The sequence below is a fragment of the Homo sapiens genome, chromosome 2 (assembly GCF_000001405.40).
Source record: "Homo sapiens chromosome 2, GRCh38.p14 Primary Assembly".
NCBI lineage: Eukaryota > Metazoa > Chordata > Mammalia > Primates > Hominidae > Homo > Homo sapiens.
In genome coordinates this window covers 199,902,465-199,928,666 of record NC_000002.12, presented here as the reverse complement: position 1 = coordinate 199,928,666, position 26,202 = coordinate 199,902,465, and the positions used below count along the sequence as shown (strand labels likewise).

Genomic DNA, 26,202 nt, shown 5'->3' with positions numbered 1-26,202 from the left:
TTTTATGGAGCAATTTTAAAGGGAGAAGGTATGTATTTGTACAAAAAAGGTTCAAAGTTGCTCATTTGAAAAGACATGGAAGATAATGAAAAGATGCACAGTAAGTCCTCACTTAATGTGCATAGGTTCTTAGAATCTGTGACTTTAAACAAAAGGACAAACAGCAGGTCCTCAACGTTTTGTTCGTTGTCATCTAGTTAAAACAATGATGAGAAAAAAATTGGTTTTGTTATATCAGTTTGCTTCAAGTCTCAGTTTCCAAGAACCTACTGATATGTTAAGTGAGGACTTACTGTATACAAACCCAACTTAGCAGGGTGGAGAAATGGCTTCCTTTATAAATAATCTGAAGTTTTAACAATGCTAATAAATATAAAGCACATCCAAACAAACTTCTGTGGATGATCAATTTTAATACAATTATACATTCATGCTGTGGTGGTAACAACTTTCACATTATTTGTAGGACTACTTTTCTCAACTCATGACAAAGGCACAATCCAAAAGTGTAAATTAACATTACAATAAGTTTTAAACAAATGTGGACAAAGGACCAATCTGAAGTATTAAACAGAAAACATCTGAATATGGATCAACTTGAATATATTTTCATTCCAGAAAATATTTTGTCTTTTCAACACTGTCTCATTTTGCTATGATGGCAGTTTTGTGTACCTGGTGACTTACTCTTAATACCCATTCAACATGTAACAATTATAATTAAGCATTCACATACTGGATAGACAACCTAGATTTTTAAATATGTCTGATTTTTTAAAATTATTTTTAAATGAATTATTCTGCTAAATGTCTTACTTTTCCATTTCAGTTAATCATGTGAAAATAAATGCTTTTTCTTCCCCTTATAGAATTCAGTAACTCAGCTATTTTCCTTTAGATACATGTGAATTTAGCCAAGGATTATTAAACAAATAGAAAAAAAGCCATCCAATCATAGTGCTTAAAGGCAATGTAATATGTAAAATGTTAAAATCAGGCTGATTTATTTCCTTGATGGGAATTTTTGGTCTCAAAAGAAACGAGGTATTTAAAGAAACTGAAGCAACATAATACTACTTTGTCTTTAAAAAAAAAAAAAAAGCCATTTAGAGATGCTGTTCTGCAGTTTATAAAATTAAGTGTTAAAACACCAAAAAGAAATGTTATTTTTAAACATTTGTTAAGAATCCTTTCTCATGAATCTCTGAATATTTGGAATGTATTTATGGAGTCATTAAAATATAATTCTGGGAAGAAACCAAGAAATTAACATTTTTATTCTATATGGCTTTATAAATCTAGGTCTTCTGGGTCATTAAGGTATTAAGCTTCAGTGTCTTTTTTTTTTTTTTTTTTTTAGTCCTAAAGCAGCATGTTACTTCCCTGCTATTTCATTACCTGCAAAAGCTAATTATTAATAAACAACAAACTGCTCACCTTTTATTGTAATCACCCAATTACAATGTCAATGTTGGTTGACATTTATTAGATCTGGATTTCTCAAAGTGTATTTATCTAGGTCAAGAAAAACGGGCAGAAGGAAACTTCACCCAAATTATGTAGCAGTGTTAAGCAAATTCAGTTTTTGAGCCAAAATTAAATCATTTGTGTCTTCAAACTTTCCCTTGTAACTTTTCTTATAGCAATGTAATTTTGCATTTTGGCCAAAGAGAGCTATTTTCTTTTGGCAGACAAAATCATGCTTCTGGAGAAACATTGACTTAGATCTATGGAATCTGTTTCCTTTTTAATAGAGCTCTAACAAATAGAGCATTATATATTTATTTTATCCAAGTTGATCCTTTCAAAAAGACTGATATAATGAAAAATTTGAAATTTGCTCTGTAGTACATTTTTATCCAATATACATAAATATGCTCAATTTAAAGCAATTTTCCAAAACAACTGGTTTTTGGACAAGATTCAAGAAACCCCAGAATGTCTTACCCAAAATAATGATAAACTGACAATTAAAAATTAAACAATAGTGCTTAAGTGTAATTTTGTTTTGTTTTGTTTTAGAGATGAAGTCCCACTATGTTGCCCAGGTTGGAGTGCAGTAGCTAGTCACAAACACAATTATGGTGAACCACACAGCCTGGGCTCAAGCAATCCTCCTGCCTTAGCCTCCTGAGTAGCTGGAACTAAAGGCACGTGCCACCACACCTGGCTATGTTTTTAAAAACCACCTTTACACTATTGTACACTTGTGGACATTTGGAAACAAATATATGTTGACTCTCATGAGAAAAGTACTTGGTGACACATGAAAGAATGAGTCAAGGAGTTTACAAAAACACAAAAGGCAGGGTGCAGTTATTCCAAAATGATAGAAAACAGCATCGTACCTTTGCTTTTGTTTGAAGAGAAATGAAAATATTTCCACTCAAAATAGCTAATTACTGTTAAAATGTCACCAAATTAGTTTAAAACATTACTCAGAAAATCAGTTATTTCCAACAGTAACAATTTTAGTTACCTTTTATAAGAACAATGTTGTAACTTTCATTTTAAGGGTCTTATATCTCCTCAGCATTATTACAAACCACCTTGTTAGATTTCAAATTAACTAATTCTAACTCAATCCAAATTAATAACTGCTCACATTCACAAGCAAAAAATACTATTGCACATTACACTCACATTTTAGGAATGTGTGCTTCCCCCCATACCCCAAAACTGACAATGCAGCTATGAATTACATCCCATTATCTGAATTTATAACACTCAAAAGTGCTTATGTTCTTCCACTGAACAAGTTCATTAATATACCTGTAATCTCAAAATACTTCATGAACCCTGAAGTGATTCTCTATGGAAGGAGCTTCCTTTGTAAAATGAATTTGGCTAGTCACCTGCATACCAAGATCCCCAAGTATCTGAACAAATTTCTTGTGCTCCTTTCCAATCCAAGATCTCATTGGATCACGTACTTGGTAAGGTGTTACATGAGTGTGAACGATAATTCCTGTTTGTGCAAATTCTTTCAAGACTTCTGGATAAGTAACCCAAGTATTGCTTCCTCCAGAATGACCACCATCCAGCCAATACATTGTTCTTATGCTTTTGATAAAAGCATCTATGTTCTTGTCTTTCTTGGCTTCTTTCAATTCAAAAAGCAACTGATTCAAAACAACACAACCTTTACTGAATCCAATCAAAGTAAAAGATGCGTCATTTAGTGATGGTGGATAAAAACTCATGGCAGACTCATCAGATTTTTCACAGGTCCTCACTTTTTCTCCCTGGCAACCATTCGTAGTATGAGAAGGACTGGATCTACAGTTAGATGCTATGGAGTCCTTATTCCAAACATTCAAACTTTTCTTTGATAAACTATTCTGACTTAAATTAAAAGCATTAACTAATAACATATAAAGGTGCTTAAAAGCTCCAAAGTCAGTATTGTGTTCTGGGGCACCAAACATGTTACTTTTCACAAAATTGTCATAGCAGCTGAATTTGTGCAAATGCATTCGGGAACATTTTATCACCCAAATATAACTATTGGGGAACCGGTGGGCTAAAATGGTAGCAACATTTTCTAGACTCCAGTTTTCCCATTGATAATTCTCAGGATGACGAGTCATAATTTCATGGTAATTCTGAAAGGTAAGAAAGATGAAATAAGTATTAAATACATATTTACATAAAATGATTTCCACAAAATAAGTTTCCATTTTTATTGTGGAGAAGGGATGTTACAATGACCTATGGTTAATGTACACTAGAAATGAAAACTATAAATTTGTCATTACTTTCTAGTAATAAGATTTTTGAACCAATTACTTCTTCAGTTTAAGCCTGAAATCTATCAAGAGACAAGGAAGTAAGTTATACCTACATGAAACAGTAAAAAGTTTTTAAAAATTTAATTTTGAAGGGTTATAGGTATGTTTAACAAATTTTATTTAGTATATACATATAATCAATTTTCCTAACACATCAACTGAAAATATAAATTTGGTTCACTAGATAGACTTTTTGACCAACACAGAATCTTAAAATATTTCCCTAAGTTGCCATTCTATACCCCTCCCTCTTTGGATTTCTCTAGCAACCTGAACACTATGTTCAATTTCAGATTTAGTATTATACACAAGGCTGCAATAAACATTATAGAAAACTCTTTGTACACATCTGTGATTATATCCTTAAATTCCTAGATATGGAAAAACTGGGTCAAAGAATATTTGTAATTTAAGTCTGGATTTCTACTCTTGCCTATTCATATCCTTTGCCCCTCATTCCCCATTTTCTGTGTGAGACAGGATCTCTGTCATCCAGGCTGGAGTGCAGTGGCATGATTATGGCTCACTGCAGCCTTGACCTATCAGGCTCAAGCAATCCTCCCTCCTCAGCCTCCGGAGTAGCTGGGACCACAGGTGCATATCATCACTTGTGGCTAACGTTTTTATTCTTTGTAGAGAGAAGGTCTCACTTTGTTGCACAGGCTGGTCTCAAACTCCTGGGCTAAACCATCCTCCTACCTCATTCTTCCAAAGTATTGGTATTATAGGCATGAGTCACCATACCCAGCCTCCTTTGCCCTTTTGTATTTACACCTTATTTATAAGCATTCTATATATACTAACCACAACTTTTTGTTTAGGTCCTAGGATGTGCATATAAATTGTCTTCCTTTTAATTTTACTCATACTGACTTTTTTTTAAAAGGGAGGTGATTCATTCAAATTTATTCATTTGTTCTATAAAATTTACTGGATACCTACCAGTTGGGCAGGGAGCAAAACAGACTAAACCCTTGTTCACATGGAGCTCACATTCTACTGCAGAGATACACAATAAACAACTCCACAAATAAATAGAGCAGCACTGTCCAACAGAAATAAAACATGAGCCACATTTAAAATTTTCAAGTGCCAGATTTTAAAAAGTAAAAAGTTAACAGGTGAAACTAATTTTAATCATTTCTTTTTTGAGCTAAATATATCCAAAATATCACAATCTCAACATGTAACCAATATTAAAAATTACTGGAGGATTCTTAACATTCTTTTTTCCTTCCTAAGTCTTTGAAATCCAGTGTGTATTTCGTACTTATAGTACATCTCAATTTGGATGCTAAATTTTCATCAGAAATACTTGATCTGAATTTGAATCTCATAAAATTTACAGCTGAAAAAGTAAACTCACATACCCAACTTGTTCCAAATATACTTAAAAGTTTTCCATTAACTGAACTGGGTATCCGTTATTTAATATACATTTAAATTAACCGAAATTAAATACAGTTACAAATATAGTTCCTCTATTAAATTTAGTTCCTCAAGTAGACTAACAACATTTTAAGTAGGCAATAGCCACAAGTGATTAGTGGCTACGATACTGGACAGTTCAAAACATATTAGACTTATAGCTTGGAAACATTTCAAAAAATATATATATTAGATGTTGGTAAGTACAACGGAACATAATAAAGCAGGAGAAAAGGAATACAAGGTGGAAAATTATTACTTAACACAGAATGGTCAGGAAAGGCTTCTCCAATAAAGTGATAGTTTGAAAGGACCTGAAGGAACTCAGAGAGTGAACCACGTGGGTATTTCAGGCAGAAGGAACTGTAACTGCAAAACGCCCTGAGGTGGGAGCTTGCCGGACATAACCCAGACACAGCAATGAGGTCAGTGTGGCTCCAGAGGAGTCAACAGTAGCAAATGTGATCACAAAGGGGGGCAGAGAGATGGTTTGGGGAAAAGGAGAGGTGCTGATCAGGCTTTTTAAGACACCACAAAGACTTCGGCTTTTGCTCTGAAAGGATCTGGAGCCAAGGGCTGATATATGCTTTGAAAATATTACTCTGGCTCCTAATAATGAAGGGGCAATAGCTGATGCAAGGAGACCGTTAAAAGGCTACTGAAATATAATCCTGATAAGAGAAGGTGGGTTGAATCAGAGTAGAAGTGGTCAAGTCCTGAATTTATTTTGGAGTTAGAGTCAACAGGATTTGCAAATGGATTGGATATAGAAGGTGAGAGAAAAATAAGATAAATGGTGTGAGTTTTCCTTATTTCTAATGGTGATATACAGTATCTATCAGTTTTAAATACACCTTCCTTTTGACTTAGTAATTCTTCGAGAAATTTATCTCATTGATATACTTACATATATGCATAAATAAATATGTATAAGGATATTTATTTCTGCTTCAAAAGAATGAGGCAGCTCTATGAGTACTCCTATGGGTTGTAAAATAAGGACTAAAAAATCCAGTACACTATGCAACCATTTGTATTTTTAAAAAAAGCCTGAGGCTGGGGGCGGCGGTTCACGCCTATAATCTCAGCACTTTGGGCGGCAGAGGCAGGCAAACCGCTTGAGTTTGAGACCAGCGTGAGCAACATGTGAAATCCTGTCTCTACAAAAAACAACAACAACAAAAATTGGCAGGGTGTGGTGGTGTGCCCCTGTAGTCCCAGCTACTCGGGAGGCTGAAGTGGGAAGATGGCTTGAGCCCAGGAGGTGGAGGTTGCTGTGAGCTGAGATTTTGCCACTGCACTGCAGCCTTGACAATAGAGTTAGACCTTGCCTCAAAAAAAAGAGAAAAAGAATAAGGAAAAAAACACATAAGTATAGAATGTCTCTGGAAGCATATATATATATATATATATATAAAAATAACAGTGGCAGCCTTGGGGAAGGGAAATGGGCAACTGGAGGGAATGGGGTGAAAGAATTACTTTTCAATGTAAAACCGTAAATAATCTGAACTTTTAGCAACATGCACATTTTCTCTATTTAAAAATAAAAACTAGTAAATACTACAAAAATTCTATATACAAAGGTACAGGTAAGATAGAAAAATCATCCATATAACCAATTAAAAATAATCATTAAAATTCTGATGTCTAGCAGTCGTTTTCTCTAGCATACACATATACAAGTATGTATACAAGGAAGCATTCTTCTCCCCCAACAAGCAATAAGCTTATACATAGTTTTCACTTAAAAATATATTATAGGCATGGTTCCATATCAATACAGATTTGCATCATAATTGTTAGACATCTAAGGTTAATACCAATTTACACTTTCACTGGAAACATAAAAGAGTGCTTATTTTCCCACATCTTTACCCATTCTTAATGCTGACGGCTATTAGCATCAATTTTTTAAAATCCTCGCTACTATGATAAAATGATATCTTACTTTTGATTTAATTTGCATGTTTTGATTCCCAATCAGGTTAAACATTGTTAACTGGCAGTTTTCATTTTTCTTTTGTTAATTTTCTGTTCATGTCCTGTGATAATTTTCCCACTATGATGTTCAATTCCTTCCTAAGTTACATTTCACTAATATTAGTAGTTTGCCATATATGTTAAAAATACTAATTCCCAGGCCGGGCACAGTAGCTCACGTCTGTAATCCCAGCACTTTGGGAGGCCGAGCCAGGCGGATCACGAGGTCAGGAGATGGGAGACCATCCTGGCCAACATGGTGAAACCCCGTCTCTACTAAAAATACAAAAATTAGCCAGGCATGGTGGCGCGTGCCTGTAGTCACAGCTACTCAGGAGGCTGAGGCAGAAGAATCGCTTGAACCCAGGAGGTGGAGGTTGCAGTGAGCCAAGACCGCGCCACTGCACTCCATCCTGGGTAACAGAGCAAGACTCCACCTCAAAAAAAAAAAAAAAAAAAAAAACTAATTCCTAGAAGGCCAACAAGTGACTTTTTTTTTTTTTTTTTTTTTGAGAGTCTCAGGCTCTGTCCCCCAGGCTGGAGTGCAGTGGCAAGATCTCGGCTCACTGCAACCTCTGCCTCCCGGGTTCATGCCATTCTCCTGCCTCAGCCTCCCGAGTAGCTGGGACTACAGGCGCGCGCCACCATGCCCGGCTAATTTTTTGTATTTTTAGTAGAGATGGGGTTTCACCATGTTAGCCAGGATGGTCTCCATCTCCTGACCTCGTGATCCACCCGCTTCGGTCTCCCAAAGTGCTGGGATTACAGGCATGAGCCACCGCGCCTGGCCCATCATTTGACTTTTTATGGATTCTGCTATTGCTTTCTGCACAATTATTTTATAATTAATGATATATCCAATTATCATGAAATCATAGGCACTTACATCTCGAAGGGCTCATCTAAATCCTTTTTATAGTTAAGGAACCTGAGGTCCTGGAAACTACAGTTATTTATATATTTATTTAGTTAATGAGCCAAAATGAACCTAGATTTTATGACTCTCAGTTTAGTCCTACCACATAGAAGGTGCTCTAAATCTAGAAACATGATATTTTCCTTGATTAGCCCCAGGTTCCACGATTAGAGGAAGGAGAATGCTTATTCTAAGGAACTGTATGCAGTAAAATGTAAAGATGGAATCATTACTGTGTGTCAAAGCCCAGATCTGGGAACAATGGAAACACACTTTCATATTCTAAAAAGAGGCACCAGACACCCCTCTAGGAGTTACTAAGAGGTAGCCCAAACTGGTTCTGCAACTGAGGCTGTTACCCACGGCCAATCTACAGAAAAGGTTAAAGACTAAGGAAAGAGAGAGATTTCTTTCAAGAGAGTTTTCATCCTAGTTGGGAATGCAATGCACTACTATCCCCATAAGAGGTAAGGGGTGAAAGGCCATGCTTCTCATCCCCAGTGAGGCAGGCCACAAGAGAATCTCTTGAGAGTTTAAAGAATGCCTACTACTCCAGTTAGATGCTTGCTGACCTGCAAAAACTCAGAGACCCACTCCAAACTGCTATTGAAGTAACGAACAATGGATTTTTAGGAAATCTTGACATGTGTCTCTAAGAGTTGGTAGACAAATGATAGATTCAAACTAAGTGTTCTGCCCTTAGAGCAGAGTGAACTTCTGCTACGGTTTGAATGTGTCCGCCAAAGTTCATGTTTTGTAAACTTAATCCCTAAAGCAACTATGATTAGAGGTGGGATCTTTAAGAGGTGATTAGGTCACAAGGGCTCTGCCCTCATGAATGGATTAATGGTTCTTGATAAAAGGATGAATTTGGCCTCTCCTTCCCCTCCTCCACTCCCTAGTGCTCTCTTGCCCTTCTGCCTTCCACCATGAGATGACAGGGCAAGAAGGCCCTCACCAGATGTAGGCCCCTCCTAACCTCCAGAATCATGAGCTAAATAAATTTCTGTTTATTATAAACATAAAGTGCACATCTGAAGTAAGCAGGCTAGAATGACCAGAACAGGGTCCAGCCTAAGAGAGCTGCCTGATAAAGCACAGGAAGCTCCAAGGTACATGACCAGGAGACACCACTTAGGGCATGATCGTCTATAGATCCTAACCTTTAGGAAAGCAAAACTTTTAAAGAGTTAAAACTGGAAATAACTCAAATGTTTATGAACTGCTGAATGGATAAACAAAGTATATATCCATACATAGAATACTACTCTGTAAATAAAAGGAACAGACTACTGGCTGGGCACAGTGGCTCACGCCTGCAATCCCAGCTCTTTGGGAGGCCAAGGCAGGAGGATCACTTAACCCCCGGGGTTTGAGACCAGCCTAGGCAACCTAATGAGACCCTCGTTTCTACGAAAAATTTTAAAAATTAGCCAGGTGTGATTGTGCATGCCTGTAAGTCCCAGCTACTTGAGAGGCTAAGGTAGGAGGATCGCTTGAGCCTGGGAGGTTGAGGCTGCAGTGAGCCATGTTCACGCCACTGCATTTCAGCCTAGTTGACAGAGCTAGACCCTGTCTCAACAAAAAAGAACAATGAAAAAAACTACAGATACAGGTAACAATATGGATGAATTTCAAAAGTATTAAATAGTGAAACAGTCACACACAAAAGACTACATACTATATGACAAATTAACAAAATTCTAGAAAAAGCAAAAACCATAGTGAAAGAAAGCAGGTTAGTGGTTGGGAAAAGAAAACTGACCATAAAGGAGCACGGAGGTACTTTTTAGGATAATGGAGATACTCTACAACATGATTTTGGTGGTTACATAATTCCAACACTTGTCAAAATTCACAAAATTGTACTCTTACTTAAAATACAAGGGCCGGGCACAGTGGCTCACACCTGTAATCCCAGCACTTTGGGAGGCCCACGCAGGCAGATCACTTGAGGTCAGGAGTTCGAGAGCAGCCTGACCAACATGGTGAAACCCCGTCTCTACTAAAAATACAAAAATTACCCAGGCGTGGTGGCACACACCTGTAATCCCAGCTACTCAGGAGGCTGAGGCACAAGAATTGCTTGAACCCGGGAGACGGAGGTTGCAGTGAGCCGAGATTGTACCACTGCACTTCAGCCTGGGCAACAGAGCAAGACTCCGTCTGAAAATATAATGATAATAAATAAATTAAAATACAGTAAAATAAAGGGGATACATATAATTATATACCCAAGGCTTTAAAAAGATAACTCAAAATGGAAAGCACCTACTTTAAAAAAATCTTGATCACCCTTCAAAATCATTATTGCTAGATGAGAAAAACATAGGTACCTAAAGAAATACAAAATACTATGGATATATGGTTTGGTTGTGTCCCCACCAAAATCTCATCTTGAATTGTAGTTCCCATAATCCCCACATGGGAGGGACCCGATGGAAGGTAATTGAATCATGGGGCGGTTACCCTCCTGCTGTTCTGGTGACAGTGAGTTTTTACAAGATGGTTTTATAAGGGGCTCATCCCCCTCTTTGCTCTCATTCTCTTTCCTACCACCATATGAAGAAGGGCATGTTTGCTTCCCCTTCCACCATGACTGTAAGTTTTCAGAGGCACCCCCAGCCCTGTGAAACTGTGAGCCAATTAAACCTCTTTGCTTTATAAATTACCTAGTCTTGGGTATGTCTCTATTAGCAGCATGAGAATGGACTAATACAGTAAATTGGTACTGCAGAGAGTGGGGTGCTGCTATAAGGATACCCAAAAATGTGGAAGCAACTTTGGAGCTGGGTAACAGGCAGAGGTTGGAACAGTCTGTAGGGCTCAGAAGAAAACAGGAAAATGTGGGAAAGTTTGGAACTTCCTAGAGACTTGTTGAATGGCTTTGACCAAAATGCTGATAGTGATTTGGATAATGAAGTCTAGGCTGCACTGGTCTCAGACAGAGATAATAAACTTTTTAGAACTGAAGCAAAGGTCACTCTTGTTATGGTTTAGCAAAGACACTGGCAACATTCTGCCCCTGCCCCAGAGATCTGTGGAACTTTGACCTTGAGAGGGATGGTTTGAAATTGGAACTTATATGTAAATGGGAAGTAGCACATAAAAGTTTGGAAAATTTGCAACCTGACGATGCTATAAAAAAAGAAAAACCCATTTTCTGAGGAGAATTTCAAGCAGCCTGCAGAAACTTGCATAAGTAACGAGGAGCCAAATGTTCATCACCAAGATAATGGGAAAAATGTCTCCAGGGCATGTCACAGATCTTCAGGGCAGCCCCTACCATCACAGGCCCAGAGGCCTAAGAGGAAAAAATGGTTTTGTGGGCTGGGCCCAGGCCCTCGCTGCTTTGTGCAGTCTTGAAACTTGGTGCCCTGTGTCCCACCGTGGCTAAAATGGGCCAACGGATAGCTCAGGCTGTTGCTTCAGAGTGTGCAAGCCCAAGCCTTGGCAGCTTACATGTGATGTTGGGCCTGTGGGTGCATAAAAGTAAGGAATTGAGGTTGGGGAACCTCTGCCTAGATTTCAGAGGATGTATGAAAACACCTGGATGTCCAGGCAGAAGTTTGCTGCTAGGGCAGTATGGAAAAGAAATGTGGGGCTCTACACTTCCCTACTGGGGCACTGCCTAGTGGAGCTGTGAGAAAAGGGCCACCATCAACCAGACCCCAGAATAGTAGATAAACCAACAGCTTGCACCGTGTGCCTGGAAAAGCTGCAGATACTCAACACCAGCCATGAAGGCAGCCTGGAGGGGGGCTGTACCCTGCAAAGCCACAGGAGTCCACCTCTTGCATCAGTGTGACCTAGATATGAGACATGGAGTTAAAGGAGATCATTTTGGAACTTTAAGGTTTAATGACTGTCCTATTGGATTTCGGACCTGCATGGGGCCTGTAGCCCCTTTGTTTTGGTCCATTTCTCCCATTTGGAATGGCTGTATTTACCCAATGCCTGTATCCCCATTGTATCTAGGAAGTAACTAACTTGCTTTTGATTTTACAGGCTCATAGGTGGAAGGGACTTGCCTTGTCTCAGATGAAACTTGGACTTAGACTTTTGAGTTAATGCTACAATGAGTTAAGACTTTGGGGAACTGTTGGAAGGGCATGGTTATGTTTTGAAATGTAAGGACATGAAATTTGGGAGGGGCTAGGGGTGGAATGATATGGTTTGGCTGTGTCCCCATCCAAATCTCATCTTGAATTGTAGTTCCCATAATCCCCATGTGTTGTGAGAGGGACCCAGTGGGAGGTAACTGAATCATGGGGCAGGTTACCTTCATGCTGTTCTCATAATACTGAGTGAGTTCTCATGAGATGGTTTTACAAGGGGCCTCCCCACCTTCGGTCTCATTCTTCTCCCTCCTCTTGCCATGTGAAGAAGGACACATTTGCTTCCCCTTCTGCCATGATTGTAAGTCTCCTGAGGCCTCCCAGCCCTGTGGAACTGATTCAATTAGACCTCTTTCCTTTATAAATTACCCAGCCTCGGGTATGTCTTTATTAGCAGTGTGAGAATGGACTAATATATATGGCCTTAGCTTTCTTGTAATTCAAATGATAAAGGAAAAGTACAGAATTTTTAAAAAGGACATACAACAAAACATGACTGCAAAAGGAACATCAAGAAGTTAATAGGAATTAAGAGGACTTAAAATCATATGAAAAACCAGTTCCAATTAACAAACACCAAATAATGAAACAGTATCAAGATAGGTGAAGCTTCAGGCCAGGTGCGGTGGCTCACATCTATAATCCCAGCACTTTGGGAGGCTGAGGTGGGAGGATCACCTGAGGTCAGGAGTTTGAGACCAGCCTGGTCAACATGGTGAAACCCCATCTCTACTAAAAATACAAAAAAAAAGAAAAATTAGCCAGGCGTGGTGGCATGCTCCTGTAGTCCCAGCTACTCAGGAGGCTGAGGCAGGAGAATCGCTTGAGCCTGGGAGGTGGAGGTTGCAGTAAGCCAAGATCACGCCACTGCACTCCAGCCTGGGCAACAGAGCAAGACTCCATCTCAAGGAAAAAAAAAAAAAGATAGGCAAAGCTTCTAATACTATCTTACAAAATTCTGTTTAGCCCTATTCTGTTCAATATTTCTTCAAATTAAGAATAAAGCTATAACAAGAATGCTCAGCGAGGTGTGGTGGCTCATGCTTGTAATCCCAACACTTTAAAAGGCTGAGGCAGGAGGATCACTTGAACACAGGAGTGGGCAACATAGTGAGACCCTGTCTCTCTAAAAAATAGTAATAAAAGAAAATAAAGAAAATAGAATGTCTATAGGCATTCTAAAAGCATCAACACAATAAAAAGATGGGCTGTACTCAGCAGCGAAAAGTTCATAAGGATAGATATTAGGCTCAAAAGAATCAAGTACAAAAATACAGATGAAGAAATCAGCCTAACAGCATTTTATATAATAGCCAACACATTTCAAGTATTTCATGCATTGTTCAAAGCAATTAAAAAATACTCATTTATACAAGTCATCTACTGCACACCTAAAACATGCAACTCTCAAGCATCGCAGATTATATCGGTGAACAAACGTAAGCTTATATTTTAGTGGCAGAAGGCAAACAAAACTCAAAACGAAAACTAGTATAGTAAATGCAATGGGTAATAATAAAGAAGAAAAGTTGATAGGAAGCCTATATATACTATGATTATTAAACAGGATGGTCAGAAAAGGCCTCAGAGAGGCAGAGTCTTGAGCAGACCTGGAAGAGGTGAGGTAATAAACCTACAAGTCATCTACTTGGAAGGCTGTTCCAGGCAGTATACAGAAAGCTTTTTAGGTATAGTGTGCCTGACATGTTTGAGCAACACCAAGAAAGCCAGAGAGGCTGGAGAAGAGTAAACAGAAAAAGGAGACCAAGTCAGATAGGTAACAGGGTGGGAAAAGATAGAAATAATGAAAAGCCTTGCAGGACAGGATATTAACAGGAAGGACTCTGGCTCTTACTCTGAGTGACATGGGAAGTGACTGCACAGTTTTGAGCAGACGTGGAATGATTTGACTTACATTTTTCAATGGTTATTCTGATTACTTTAGATACACTGAAAAGGTAAAACCACTAGATTTGATGAAATGAGGTATGAAAGACAGTTCTAATGGATGACTTCAAGATTTCTATCTTGAGCAACTAAGAAGGTAAAGTTTCCATTAATGACATGAGGAAGACTGCATAGGGGTAAAGATCCAGAGATTTTAGGTTTAGGATATCTATTAAATATCCAAAAGGAAATAATCGTGCATATAATTGGTTGGCCTAAAGTTTGGGGAATATGTGTAGGCTAGATACATAAATGTTGAGGGGTGTCAGTGTACAGGTAGTGAGTAAAGCCATGAGACTGAAGGGAGTGAACACAGACAGAGGAAACATGGAAGAACAGACGACTAGGATACTCCAATAATTTTTAAAGTCACCAGAGAGATAAGAAGGGACCAGAACTCATTTAGTATCCACACATTTAATCTCCATTGACACCTTATAAACTATTATTCTTATTTTGTAGTTGAAGTAGCTGAAACACAGAGAGATGTAACAATTGTCCAGGGACTTTATACCTAAAAAGTTCTAAATCAGGGTTCAAACCCAGGCAATCTGGCCTCAAACTGTATGTAAGACTTTTTAGACTTCCTCTGAAGACTTGTACTATATATCCTGGCTGGCACACTTTAAAAACACTTAGGAGGTGCTCAATAAATGTAATCATTATCATCATCATTATTTTAGGAATGCATGCAGTAATTGTTCCACAAAATTATTCTGGCAGTCATAGTCGGAAATGTCACATGTTATTTTCCCAATCTGAGCCACAAGGGCACCAAGTAAGTAAGTGGCTTTTTTTTCTCTTAAATCTAAGTAGTAGTTGTTTTTTTCTTTATTCTCTTTTTTTTTCTCCAGTTTTTATTAGCAGTCAACTAAACCAGTCAATTATTTTGAGGGCAAAAGAAAATAATACATATTATAAAAATATATATATATTTTATATATATTATATAGTATATTTTATATATAGTATAATATATATTTTATATAATATAATATATATTTTATATAATATATATTTTATATAATAGAATATATATTTTATATAATATATATTTTATATAATAGAATATATATTATATATAATATATGTTATTATATATAATATATATCATAATAGAATATATTATATATAATATATATTATAATAGAATATATATTATATATAATATATATTATAATAGAATATATATTATATAATAGAATATATATTCTATAGAATATATTTTATATAATATATATTATATATATTATAATATATATTATATATAATATATTATATATTATATATAATATATATAATTTTATATATAATATATATATAAAATAATATATATTATTTTCTTTTGCCCTCAAAATAACTGGTTTAGTTGACTGCTAATAAAAACTGGAAAAAAAAAGAGAATATCTATATCTATATCTATATATCTATATCTATATCTTAATCATTATCTGACTCAGAGCACAGTTTCTAAGTATGTCATTTTAAGGCACCAATTTTGAAAATAAACTAATGTAGTTTCATAGTATAAGAAACACATGTAGGCCGGGCGCGGTGGCTCACACCTATAATCCCAGCACTTTCAGAGGCCAAGGTGGGCAGATCACTTGAAGTCAGAAGTTCGAGACCAGCCTGTCCAACATGGTGGAACCCCATCTCTACTAAAAATACAAAAATTAGCTCAGTGTGGTAGCGCATGCCTGTAATCCCAGCTACTCGGGAGGCTGAGGCACGAGAATCACTTGAGCCCGGGAGGCGGAGGTTGCAGTGAGTCGAGACTGCGCCACTGCACTCCAGCCTGGGCAACTAAGCAAGACTCCGTCTCAAAAAAACAAAAAAGAGAAACATACCTAGCTATAGTCTAGCTTTACCTGTCTAGAACTTTCTATGATGATGGATTATTTTCTATGATAATGCTATATATCTGTGCTGTCCAATACAGCACACGCAAGCCATCTGTAGCTACTGAGCACTTGAAATGCAGCTAATATGAATAACTGGATTTTTAGTTTTATTTAATTTTAATTAATTCAGATAGCCATATATGGCTAATGGCTACCATATTAGATAATGCAACGTTAGATTAAGACCCAGTTTTCAGGGCAACATAACCACGGATATTTACCTGCAGCTATAAAATAATAAACATAACATGCAAAAGCAAAAGTACAAAAGAGGTGAGCATCAAAACATTGACATGCTTAATAATTATTGTCCCTTTTCTTCCACCCATCCCCACTCTTTTTTAGGGTTACTGGATGTCATACCTTTGTAATGTTTGTTTGGTTTTTAATTACTGCCACCGTTTTCTAAACACTACGTGCTAACTTAATTTGAAAGCCATCGCTCTGTCCCCTGCCCAACACACACACACGGTCCTCTGAGAAACCAAATTATAGAATAAATATACAAGATGCGTGTCACTCCCTGTCTCAAATTCCGCCTCTTGGAAACCTGGACCGACAGCTGGCTCTTTCGAGATCGTAGCCCTCGTCGGACACCTTCCCCATGGGGTTCTATGGACAAAGGGCGCCAAGGGCGTGGAAGGCACGGTTTTGGATTTCGTGGAGTAGAGGAAGAGCCACCCTCAGTGAATGTGTGGGTGTGTTCAGGCAAGGAAAGGAACCAGGCAGCAGCCACGAGGGAAGAATCAGTGACCGCGTACGTATACACGAGAGGAAGGAACAGATACCCAGGCAGGCCCCGAGTTACCTGCACATCCCCAGGGAAATAGAGGACGTGATGCTGGGGCGGCGGCTGCGGCTCCTCCTTCGCTGGGTCCCCGGGGAGGTCCTGCCGCTCCAGTCCCTCCCCGGCCGCCGCCAACAGGAGCAATTCGTTGCTGCGCTGCGGATCGGCTCCAGGCACGGTGGAAAGCTGCAGGCACTGACGGCGGCGCACCTCGGCCGAGAGGGAGCATCGCGCGCCGCCGCTGCCGCCCGGGTTCATGGTTCTGGCCTGAGAGCAGGACGAGGCGTTTCCGATTCCGAGCTGCGGCAGCAGGAGCAGCAACGGCGGCGACCGCAGGAGCCTGAACCCCCACATGGGTCGCCGCCGCGAGAGCGGTTCGGAGGTGGAGGGTGGCGGAGGGGTTCCTGAGGGAGGGACTTCAGCAGGCGGCTCAGCCGGCGGCTCAACGGTCGGCGGCCGCGGCCCGGCCGGGAGCCGGCGCTGAGGCGACGACGTCAGAGGCCGACGTCCGCGCGCAGCGTGCGTAAGGAAAGGAAGGGAGGGGTGTGGGCGAAATCGGTCTTGGGATCCCGGAGAAGACGGTGGGCGTGGCTTGAGGAAGGGCGTTTGTGATTGGTGGGTTCTGCCGCGGCCGGGAAGTTCGAACAGAAGTCTGGGGAAGAGCCGGCGAAGAGCAAAGAGATAATACAGTACTCCCAGCTATAGCAAGCGGCAGTTATGGAGCATGCGCAGCAGCAGGGGCGGCCGCAGGTCGCCGTTCAATAATACGTAATGTATAGACTTTTGAGTATACGAAGCTCCCTGTTTCTCTAGGTTCACCTGAGATTTATCTGGTCTTTCAGGGCTTAAAAGGGAGACATTCCCAAAGAAGATTCCGTGGGAAGTCTCCTACAAGCCCCGAAGGAAGGGAATCTCTCTCCTCATACCTTGAGTTTCCTGAGTACAATTATTATAGATATACGAAGATCTCTGTGCTCATGGAGAATTTGTGGTTAGATATGAAGCTAATTCATCTCTGTTTGGGAACAGGGTACATGATCTAGGACAGGAAAAAAACGGGGCGAGGCAGTACGCTTTACTTGGTGTTTTGCTATTTGGAGGTTTTCAAAAACTAAACAGTGTAGGAAAGTCATGTGTGTCCAGCAACTATCTGTGGCCAGTTGAGTAGGAATAAGATTTGGCGAAATGTATGCTCAGGCCTGTACTCCCAGCACTGTGGGAGGCCGAGGCGGAGGATCACTTGAGTCCAGCAGTTTGAAACCAGCCTGGGCAACATAGGGAGGCCTTGTCTCTACTAAATTTTTTTTTTTAATTAGCCGGGCGTGGTGGTGCATGCCTATAGTCCAAGCTACTGGGAGGGCTGAGATGGGAGATTGGATCGCTTGAGCCCAGGAGTTGTATGCTGCAATGAGTTGTGATCCCACCACTGCACTCCAGCCTGGGCAACAGAAGCAGACCCTGTCTCAAAAAATAAACCAAAAACAAACAAAACAGGGAAATGTGTGCGAGCGAGGATGAGATCCAAGTACTTGTGAGACAAAGCACTGTAAAGAGAATAATTAATGAAAATTACAAAAAACTACAGCCAACATTTGTTGAGGGTTTACTATAGGCCAGAAATCTAAGCACTTTATATATAATTGTTCGGAGTTTATATATGTGTATTTAAGCACACATACTGTTTTCTTTGGTCTACATATGCAAATAATAACAAATGGCTTGGAGTAGGAACATAAATGAGCAAATGATAAAATATGATTTATATATATGTATAGACTTGGTGACTTAGTATGCTAACCTACTCTGGTCTAAATTGTTGCATTCCATCTGACATCAAAATATTGTTATCAATCAAAAATTATTCAATTAATTACTAAGGAAATCTGCCGCTTTCTAAAATAACTGGTTAAAAACAAGTAGAGGTTAGTTATACAATAATTAGTATATAATGACATTTAGGCAACCTGACGTCACTCTGTTTTGCCAATTGCAAACATGTTACTTTCCATTGTTAGATAGAGGATTGCTGAAATGTTATCTAAAAGTCCAAACATGTACATGAATTGCAAATGCAGCTTTTGATTTGTGGTCTTGTTTTTAGCTTGACCTTATAATGAAATCTATTTTTATTTTTAAGTTTATTTTTTTAAGACAAGATCTTGCTTTGTCACCCAGGCTGGAGTGCAGTGGCACAATCTCGGCTCACTGCAATCTCTGCCCCCCAGATTCAAGCGATTCACTTGCCTCAGCCTCCCTAGTAGCTGAGATCACAGGCATGTGCCACCACGCCCGGCTAATTTTTGTATTTTTTTAATAGAGACAGGGTTTCTCCATGTTGACCATGCTGGTTGCGAACTCCTTACTTCAGGTGATCTACCCGCCTCGGCCTCCCAAAGTGCTGGGATTACAGGCAGGAGCCACCATGCCCTGCCTTAATGAAATCTATTCTTATTGAAGAGAGTGGAGAATGTGTTTTATAAGGAAAATTGTAGCAAATATTAAATGCCACAAAGTTGTCTCAGTATCGCTAAGATAATTAAGGTCTTTGAGAAATACAAGTAAGAATTTAAAGAGTAGAGTAAAGAAACAGACTAAAGTAAGCACAAATGTTTCCTTACAGTCAAGGGATTTGTACAGCCCTGTAGGAGACACCTCCAGAGAAAGTAACAGCTCTCAATTGATTAGCTGAGGTATGTATGTCATTTATGGCAAGTCATTGCCGTTGCAATTCCTTCTCACAGGTCCCCTTGATATTACTGTAATACCTGTTTTCTGTCTCCATCCCCTCTGTCTTCTAGGAGACCGATTTTGTAAATCACTACTTTTCTAACAACACTGGCACAGATGGCCAAGCATTCTCCCTTTTCTCAGAGCTGGTTTTCCATCCCGGAAAGAGGTCTTACATATACAAAGTTACTCTAATCAGTTGTGTGAGTTTTCTCTTCTCTAACTGATAGGGTTCTGCACAGGGATTATATTAATGCTTATAGTGTCCAAAAGGCTATAGCTCACCTCTGGACTCTTGAGAGTTCTCAAGGGATCCTGCTGAGCTCTCAGACCTTTTTAATGCTATTCAATATAATAGAAAAGTTGCAAAATTGGAAGGAATCTGAGAAAGGCTAATTTACAATGGAAAGGACAGCATTAAAAGGCACAAACTCCAATATCTACAGGGGCCAGGTCTATATTATAAATAGTAAAATTGGCCACAAATAAACAATAGGGAATGTAAACACTGGCAAACTAGAGAGATGTCATATTTGAAGAAGGCAGTCACTATTCACTGCTAGCCAGTTGTAAAATGAAGGCAACATTTTGCCAAACCTTCAAACTTGTTAAGAGATTTCTCGACACAAATCAGATACAGATTTTTATGTTTCATTTGCCAACTTGTAAATGTTGACAACTAATTAAATTTGCTTGTAAAACACCGTATTAAATTAAATGCACACATAGGCCATATTTGGCCTAGGGGCCACAAATGTGCAGCTTCTCTACTGAAAGGTGAAATGGGTGGATACAGGAAGGCAGGAGATGGGGGAAAAAAATAGACAAGACAAAAAAGTCCGGGCACAGTGGCTCACACCTGTAATCTCAGCACTTTGGGAGGCCGAGGCAGGCGGATCACTTGAGGTCAGGAGTTCGAGACCAGCCTGGCCAACATGGTGAAACCCTGTCTCTACTAAAAATACAAAAATTAGCCAAACATGGTGGTGGGCACCTGTAATCCCAGCTACTCGGGAGGCTGAGGCAGGAGAATCACTTGAACCCGGGAGGCGGAGGTTGCAGTGAGCCAAAATTGAGCCACTGAACTCTATCCTGGGCAACACCGTAAGAGTCTGTCTTTAAAAAAAAAAAAAAAAAAGCGGGGGGGTGGGGGTGGGCGAGCAGCAAAAGCCCTTAAATGTGGCTTTCTGTGAGCAGTTGAGAGGGAGAGGAGTGGGGAAATGATTTTGAGAAGTTCTGTGAGATTTTAATTGGATCCCATTTGATGTTCTTTAAGAGATTGAAAAGTTTTAGTTTTAAAAAATTATTCTTGGTTTTGAATAGGTATTTTTTTGTGTTTTAATAAGCTTGTTTGCCAAAACTGGGCCTTGAGAGGAACAGGCTTCATATGAGGTATGCCACTCTAGCATGTAATTTGGCCCCCAAAGTGCTTGATAAAATAAAAATTAGAGAATAGAGCCATTTGGGGATTTGAAAGCTTATTCTTTGGCTAGTTTCACCAGCTAAGCAACACCATGTACCCTGTTCCTGTGGTATATAATTTATTAGACACCTACTTCCTCAAAATGCAAATCACTACATGTCAAGACCTTACAGATTATCTTTACCACTCAATGAATCCTCAAATGCAATAATTAGCTAAAAATACTTGCATATATTGTACTTTACTCAATGTTAAAGGGTAGAAAAAATTGAATCAATTCAAAATACAGCAAATCCTTAACAAAATATTAACAAGCTGATATGGTTTGGCTCTGTGTCCTCACCTAAATCTCATCTCAAATTATAATCCCCACATGTCAAGGGAAGGAGGTGATTGGATCACAGGGGCGGTTCCTCCATGGTGTTCTTGTGATAGTGAGTGAGTTCTCACGAGATCTTATGGTTTTATAAGTGTTTGACAGTTCTTCCTTCACACACTTCTCTCACTTCTGCTGCCTTGTGAAGCAGGTGGCTGCTTTCCCTTCTGCCATGATTATAAGTTTCCTGAGCCCTCTGCAGCCATGCAGAACTATGAGTCAATTAAACCTCTTTCCTTTATAAATTACCCAGTCTTGTGTATTTATTTATAGCAGTGCAAGAATGGACTAATACACAAGCCAAATCCAGCAACATATGAAAAGAATTATACACCATAAAAATGTGGGATTATCCCAGGAATGCAAAGTTGGTTTTTAATCTCTGAAAATCTATTAACATTATATACCATATCAATATAATAAAAAACAAAAATGACATAATCATCTTAATGGGCACAGAAAAAGCATTTGACAAAATCTAACACTCATGATTAAAAACACTCAACAAACTAAGAGTTGAAGGGAACTTCCTCAGCCTAATAAAGGGCATTATGAAAAACCCAACTAACATACTTAACGATAAATGACTGAATGTTTTCCCCCTAAGAATAGGAAAAAAATAAAGATGTTTACTCTTGCTACTTCTAATCAATATCATCCTGGAAGTTCTACCCAAGGCAATTAGGCAAGAAAAAGAAATAAAAGCTGTGTAGATTGGGAAGGAAGAAGTAAAGCCATGCAGATGACATGATCTTGAATATAGAAAATCCTAAGGAATCCACTAAAAAATTATTATAAATAATACACAGGTTCAGCAGGATGCAAAATCAATACAACAGTCATGTTTGTATATGCTAGCAATAAAAATACAACAATTCCATTTACATTAGCATCAAAAGATACTTAGGAATAAATTTAAAGAAATGCAAAATTATATAGTGAAAGCTACAAAACATTATTCAAAGAAATTTGAAAAGACCTCCCATATTAAATGGGAGGAAATGGAAAGATCTCCCATATTCATGGATCAGAAGACTTATTGTTAAGATGACAGTTCTTTTCAAATTGATCTACAGATTCAATGCCATTTGTATCACAATTCCAGCTGCCTCTTTTGCAAAAATGTTTAAGCTGATCCTAAGATGTGTATGGAAATGCAAGGGACCCAGAATAGCCAAAACAATCTTGAAAAAAATGATCAAAGTTGGAGGGCTCACATTTCCCCATTTCAGTACTTACTACAGAGCTACAATAATCAAGACAGTGCATATTGGTATGAGGATAGGCATGTAAAACAGTAAAATAGGATCGAGAGTCTAGAAATAGACCCTAAATTTACGGTCAAATGTTTTTCAACAAAAGTGCCAAGATAATTCAATGGGGAAAAAAAGCCTTTTAACAAGTGGTACAGGGTCAAATGGATAGACACATGCAAAAAAAGGAGTTGGATCCCTTCTTTAAGCATTCAAAACTCAAAAGGGGGTGTAGAACTAAATATATGAGCTAAAACTATAAAATTTTTAGAAGAAAAAAATAGAAGTAAACCTTCATGACTTTAGCTTAGCCAAAGCCTTCTCATATATCGCACCAAAAGCACAAGATTAAAAAAAAAAAAGAGGCAAATCGCACTTTTATCTAATTAGAAAAAGTTTAGTGCTTCAAAGAACACCAATAGAAAATGAAAAGACAGCCCACAGAATGAGAGAAAATGTTTGGAAATAACATACTGGTTGTGTTAGTCCATTTTATATTGCTGTAAAGGAATACCAGAGATTGAGTAATTTATAAACAAAGGAGGAGGTTTATTTGGCTCACAGTTCTGCAGGTTATAAAAGAAGCATGGCACCATCATCTGCTTTTGGTGAGGCCTCAGGAAGATTTTACCCATGGCAGAAGAGAAAAGGAGCTGGCATGTCACATGGTAAGAGAGGTAGCAAGAGAGAAGGGAAGAGGTGCTAGGCTCTTTTTAACAACAAGATCTCATGTGAGCCTACAACCACTGATTACCATAGGGAGGGCACCAAGCTATTGGCTAGAGATTTGCTCCCATGACCCAAACACCTTCCATTAGGTCCCCCCTCCAGCATCGGGGAACACATCTCAACATGAGATTTGGAGGGGACAAACATCCAAACTATACCATTGGTTGAAGGATTTATATCCAAAGTATAAAAACCACTCTTACTACTCAGTAATAAAAAGACAACCCAATTTTTTAAAGGGGTAAAGGATCTGAATAGACATTTCACAGAAGATATACAAATAAACAATAAGCACATGAGAAGATGCTCAACACCATTAGCCACTAGGGAAATGCAAATGAAAACCATAAGAGATACCACGTTATATCTACCAGGATGGTCATAGTAAAAAGACAGATAATAAAAAATGTCAACAAAAGTTGGGTATTCATGCATTGCTCATAAGAATGGTGTAGTGGCTTTAGAAAGAAGTTTGATAGTTTTCAAAATGTTAAATGTAGATTTATCATGTGACCCAGCAATTCTACTCTTTGGTATATATTCAACAGAAATGAAAACATACAACCACACAGCAACTTGTTCATAAATGTTTATAACAGTACTATTTATAATAGCCAAAAAGTAAAAACAACACAAATGTGTATTAACTGATAAATGAATAAAAAAGTCATATATTCATACAATATATTGATATTATTGAATAATAAAATATTAATCAATAATAACAGAAAGGAATTAGTCCGGGCACAGTGGCTCATGCCTATAATACCAACACTTTGGGAGGCTGAGGCAGGAGGATTGCTTGAGCCCAGGAGTTCAAGACCAGCCTGGGCGACATAGTGAGACACTGCCTCTATTTTTTTTAAGTAATTAAATACTGATCCAAGCTACGACATGGATGAACTATGAAAACATGCTAAGTGAAGGAAGCTAGTCGCAAAAGACTACATATTTTATGAGTCCATTTATATAAGTGCTCTAAAAATTGAGTATCTATAGATTCAGAAGTTAGATTAGTGATTACATAGGGATGGGGAGAAGAGGAACTAATTAAAACCTGGTCATTAAGTCCACTCAAGGGGAGAAGAATTAGCCTCTACCTTTTGAAGAGGCTCTACCTCTTGAGGGGAAGAGTACCAAACTCTTGTAGACATATTTTAAAACAACCATACCCAAGCTCACTCTAGACCCATCAGAATTCAGAGAACTTTGAATTTAAGCACAAGGTGAATAAAAAGAAATAAGGTACGGCTATTCACAGTGGCTCACGCCTGTAATCCCAGCACTTTGGGAGGCCGAGGTGGGTGGATCACGAGGTCAGGAGTTCGAGACCAGCCTGACCGACATGGTGAAACCCCATGTCTCTACTAAAAATACAAAAAAAAAAATTAGCCGGGTGTGGTGGTGCGCTCCTGTAATCCCAGCTACTTGGGAGGCTGAGGCAGGAGAATCGCTTGAACCCAGGAGGCAGAGGTTGCAGTGAGCTGAGATCACGCCATTGCACTCCAGTCTGGGCGACAAGAGAGAGACTGTCTCAAAAAAAAAAAAAAAAGAAAGAAAGAAGGTAGACTTAGCTAAGACTAGATTATTGTCAAGCCCAACAGAGCTTAAAGGTTAAAAAAATGATTGTATGAGACTAAACATAACCTTTATCTTGAAAAACCTGGGGAGCCACTGAATAATTTTAAATAGGGAAACTCATTATCAGATCTGCACTTTAGAAAGATCACTGTTACAGCAGTATGGAGAAGAAATTGAAGGAGGCAGAAATGCAGTCAAGGGAAGCCAGTTGGACCGCTACTTCAGTACTCCATATATGTCTGTTATCTATTGTCACAATAATGCTGTATATTTAACAAACCAATCTCAAATTCAGTGGCATAAAACAATAGTATTTATCATTGCTCATGAACCTATTAGTCAGCTGGGCAGTTCTGCTGATCTGGCCCAGTATCAACTGATCTTGGCTAATCCCTTTATTCAGCTGACAGAATGGCCAGGGGCTGGCTTATTTATTATAGCTTCACTTGCATGTCTGGTGACTGGCTAGCTATTAGCTAAGGCAACAAAGGTAACTAGACTATGTATCACTTATTATCCAGAAGAGTAGTCTGGGCTTATTTTCATGATGGCAGTGCCTAGGAGAATGAGCAACAGTGAAGCCAAGACTTAGAACTTGCATGTTATCCAGCTGCTGCATTCTATTAACCAGAGCAAGAAATAAGGCCAGCTCAATTCACGGAGTGAAGAAATAGATTCCGCCGCTTAATGGGAGAAACTGCAAAGTCACATTGCATAGGACATGGATATAGAAAGGGTTGAAGAATTGTAGCCATTTTTAGAATCTACCACAGTCCACTCTCTGGCCACAATTATTCACATCCCTCCTTATGATCCCTCTTCCTACTCCAAAATATGATATCATGGCATTTGAGAAAACAGCAGAAGCAGGAAGGTCACTCTCATCTTCCCCCTCATTTTTCTTTCCTGGAGCAGCCATAAAACTTAATTTCCTGACCTTCCCCTGAAGAAGATCATATGACTCTCTTGTCAGAGGTTCCTTTCCTATTTTCGGAGGAAAGGAACATCCTTATCTCTGAAGGCACAGGGTCACAGAGAAGGATCTGAACAAACAAGCCTTGCTAAGTTCCCTCCAGTTTATTACTGTTAGGTCACATCACCTTTCTCCATACTTCTCAGCTATCCACTTCTTCATCAAACATAGCATAAAATTATACAAACTTCCCTGTTTATTTGAGTCTACATTTCTGAAAGCTCCTGTGTCATGTTAAACTTATATTAAAGAAATTTGTATGCTTT

General features: G+C 38.8%; 1 protein-coding gene and 1 long non-coding RNA gene across 4 annotated transcripts in view, besides 2 other annotated features; one reads left to right on the top strand and one right to left on the bottom strand.

Annotated features, from left to right (window-relative positions):
- Positions 1-393: 393 nt before the first annotated feature.
- Positions 394-17,374, bottom strand: C2orf69 (chromosome 2 open reading frame 69). Its single transcript, NM_153689.6, has 2 exons — positions 16,896-17,374; positions 394-3,605 (listed from the first exon to the last, which is right to left on the bottom strand). Exons 1-2 carry the CDS (start codon positions 17,226-17,228, stop codon positions 2,781-2,783), a joined length of 1,158 nt encoding a protein of 385 aa, NP_710156.3. The 5' UTR covers positions 17,229-17,374; the 3' UTR covers positions 394-2,780.
- Positions 6,362-6,863: an enhancer, noted in NCBI's record as "H3K4me1 hESC enhancer chr2:200786527-200787028 (GRCh37/hg19 assembly coordinates)". NCBI's record gives its function as "activates a minimal SCP1, AML or CMV promoter by ChIP-STARR-seq in naive H9 embryonic stem cells {active_cell/tissue: H9 hESC(naive)}" and the evidence as "EXISTENCE:reporter gene assay evidence [ECO:0000049][PMID:30033119]".
- Positions 17,053-17,242: an enhancer, noted in NCBI's record as "active region_16950". NCBI's record gives its function as "activates an Ori minimal core promoter by ATAC-STARR-seq in GM12878 lymphoblastoid cells {active_cell/tissue: GM12878}" and the evidence as "EXISTENCE:reporter gene assay evidence [ECO:0000049][PMID:35858748]".
- A 146-nt stretch (positions 17,375-17,520) lies between the features above and the next one.
- LOC101927687 (uncharacterized) overlaps positions 17,521-26,202 on the top strand; it is a 32,651-nt gene continuing 23,969 nt past the window's right edge. For all 3 annotated transcript variants that reach the window (XR_923766.4, XR_923769.4, XR_241384.6), the window contains exons 1-2: positions 17,521-17,642; positions 19,495-19,564. This is a non-coding gene — a long non-coding RNA (uncharacterized LOC101927687). The remainder of the gene's footprint in view (positions 17,643-19,494; positions 19,565-26,202) is intronic.

What these genes read in the sequence shown, in the direction of transcription:
- C2orf69 (NM_153689.6), bottom strand. Translation starts at nt 17,228, where the DNA reads ATGTGGGGGTTCAGGCTCCTGCGGTCGCCGCCGTTGCTGCTCCTGCTG. An exon ending in ATTTCCCTGGGGATGTGCAG is followed by an intron (nt 3,606 to 16,895) that starts GTAACTCGGGGC and finishes CTTACCTTTCAG; the next exon opens with AATTACCATGAAATTATGAC.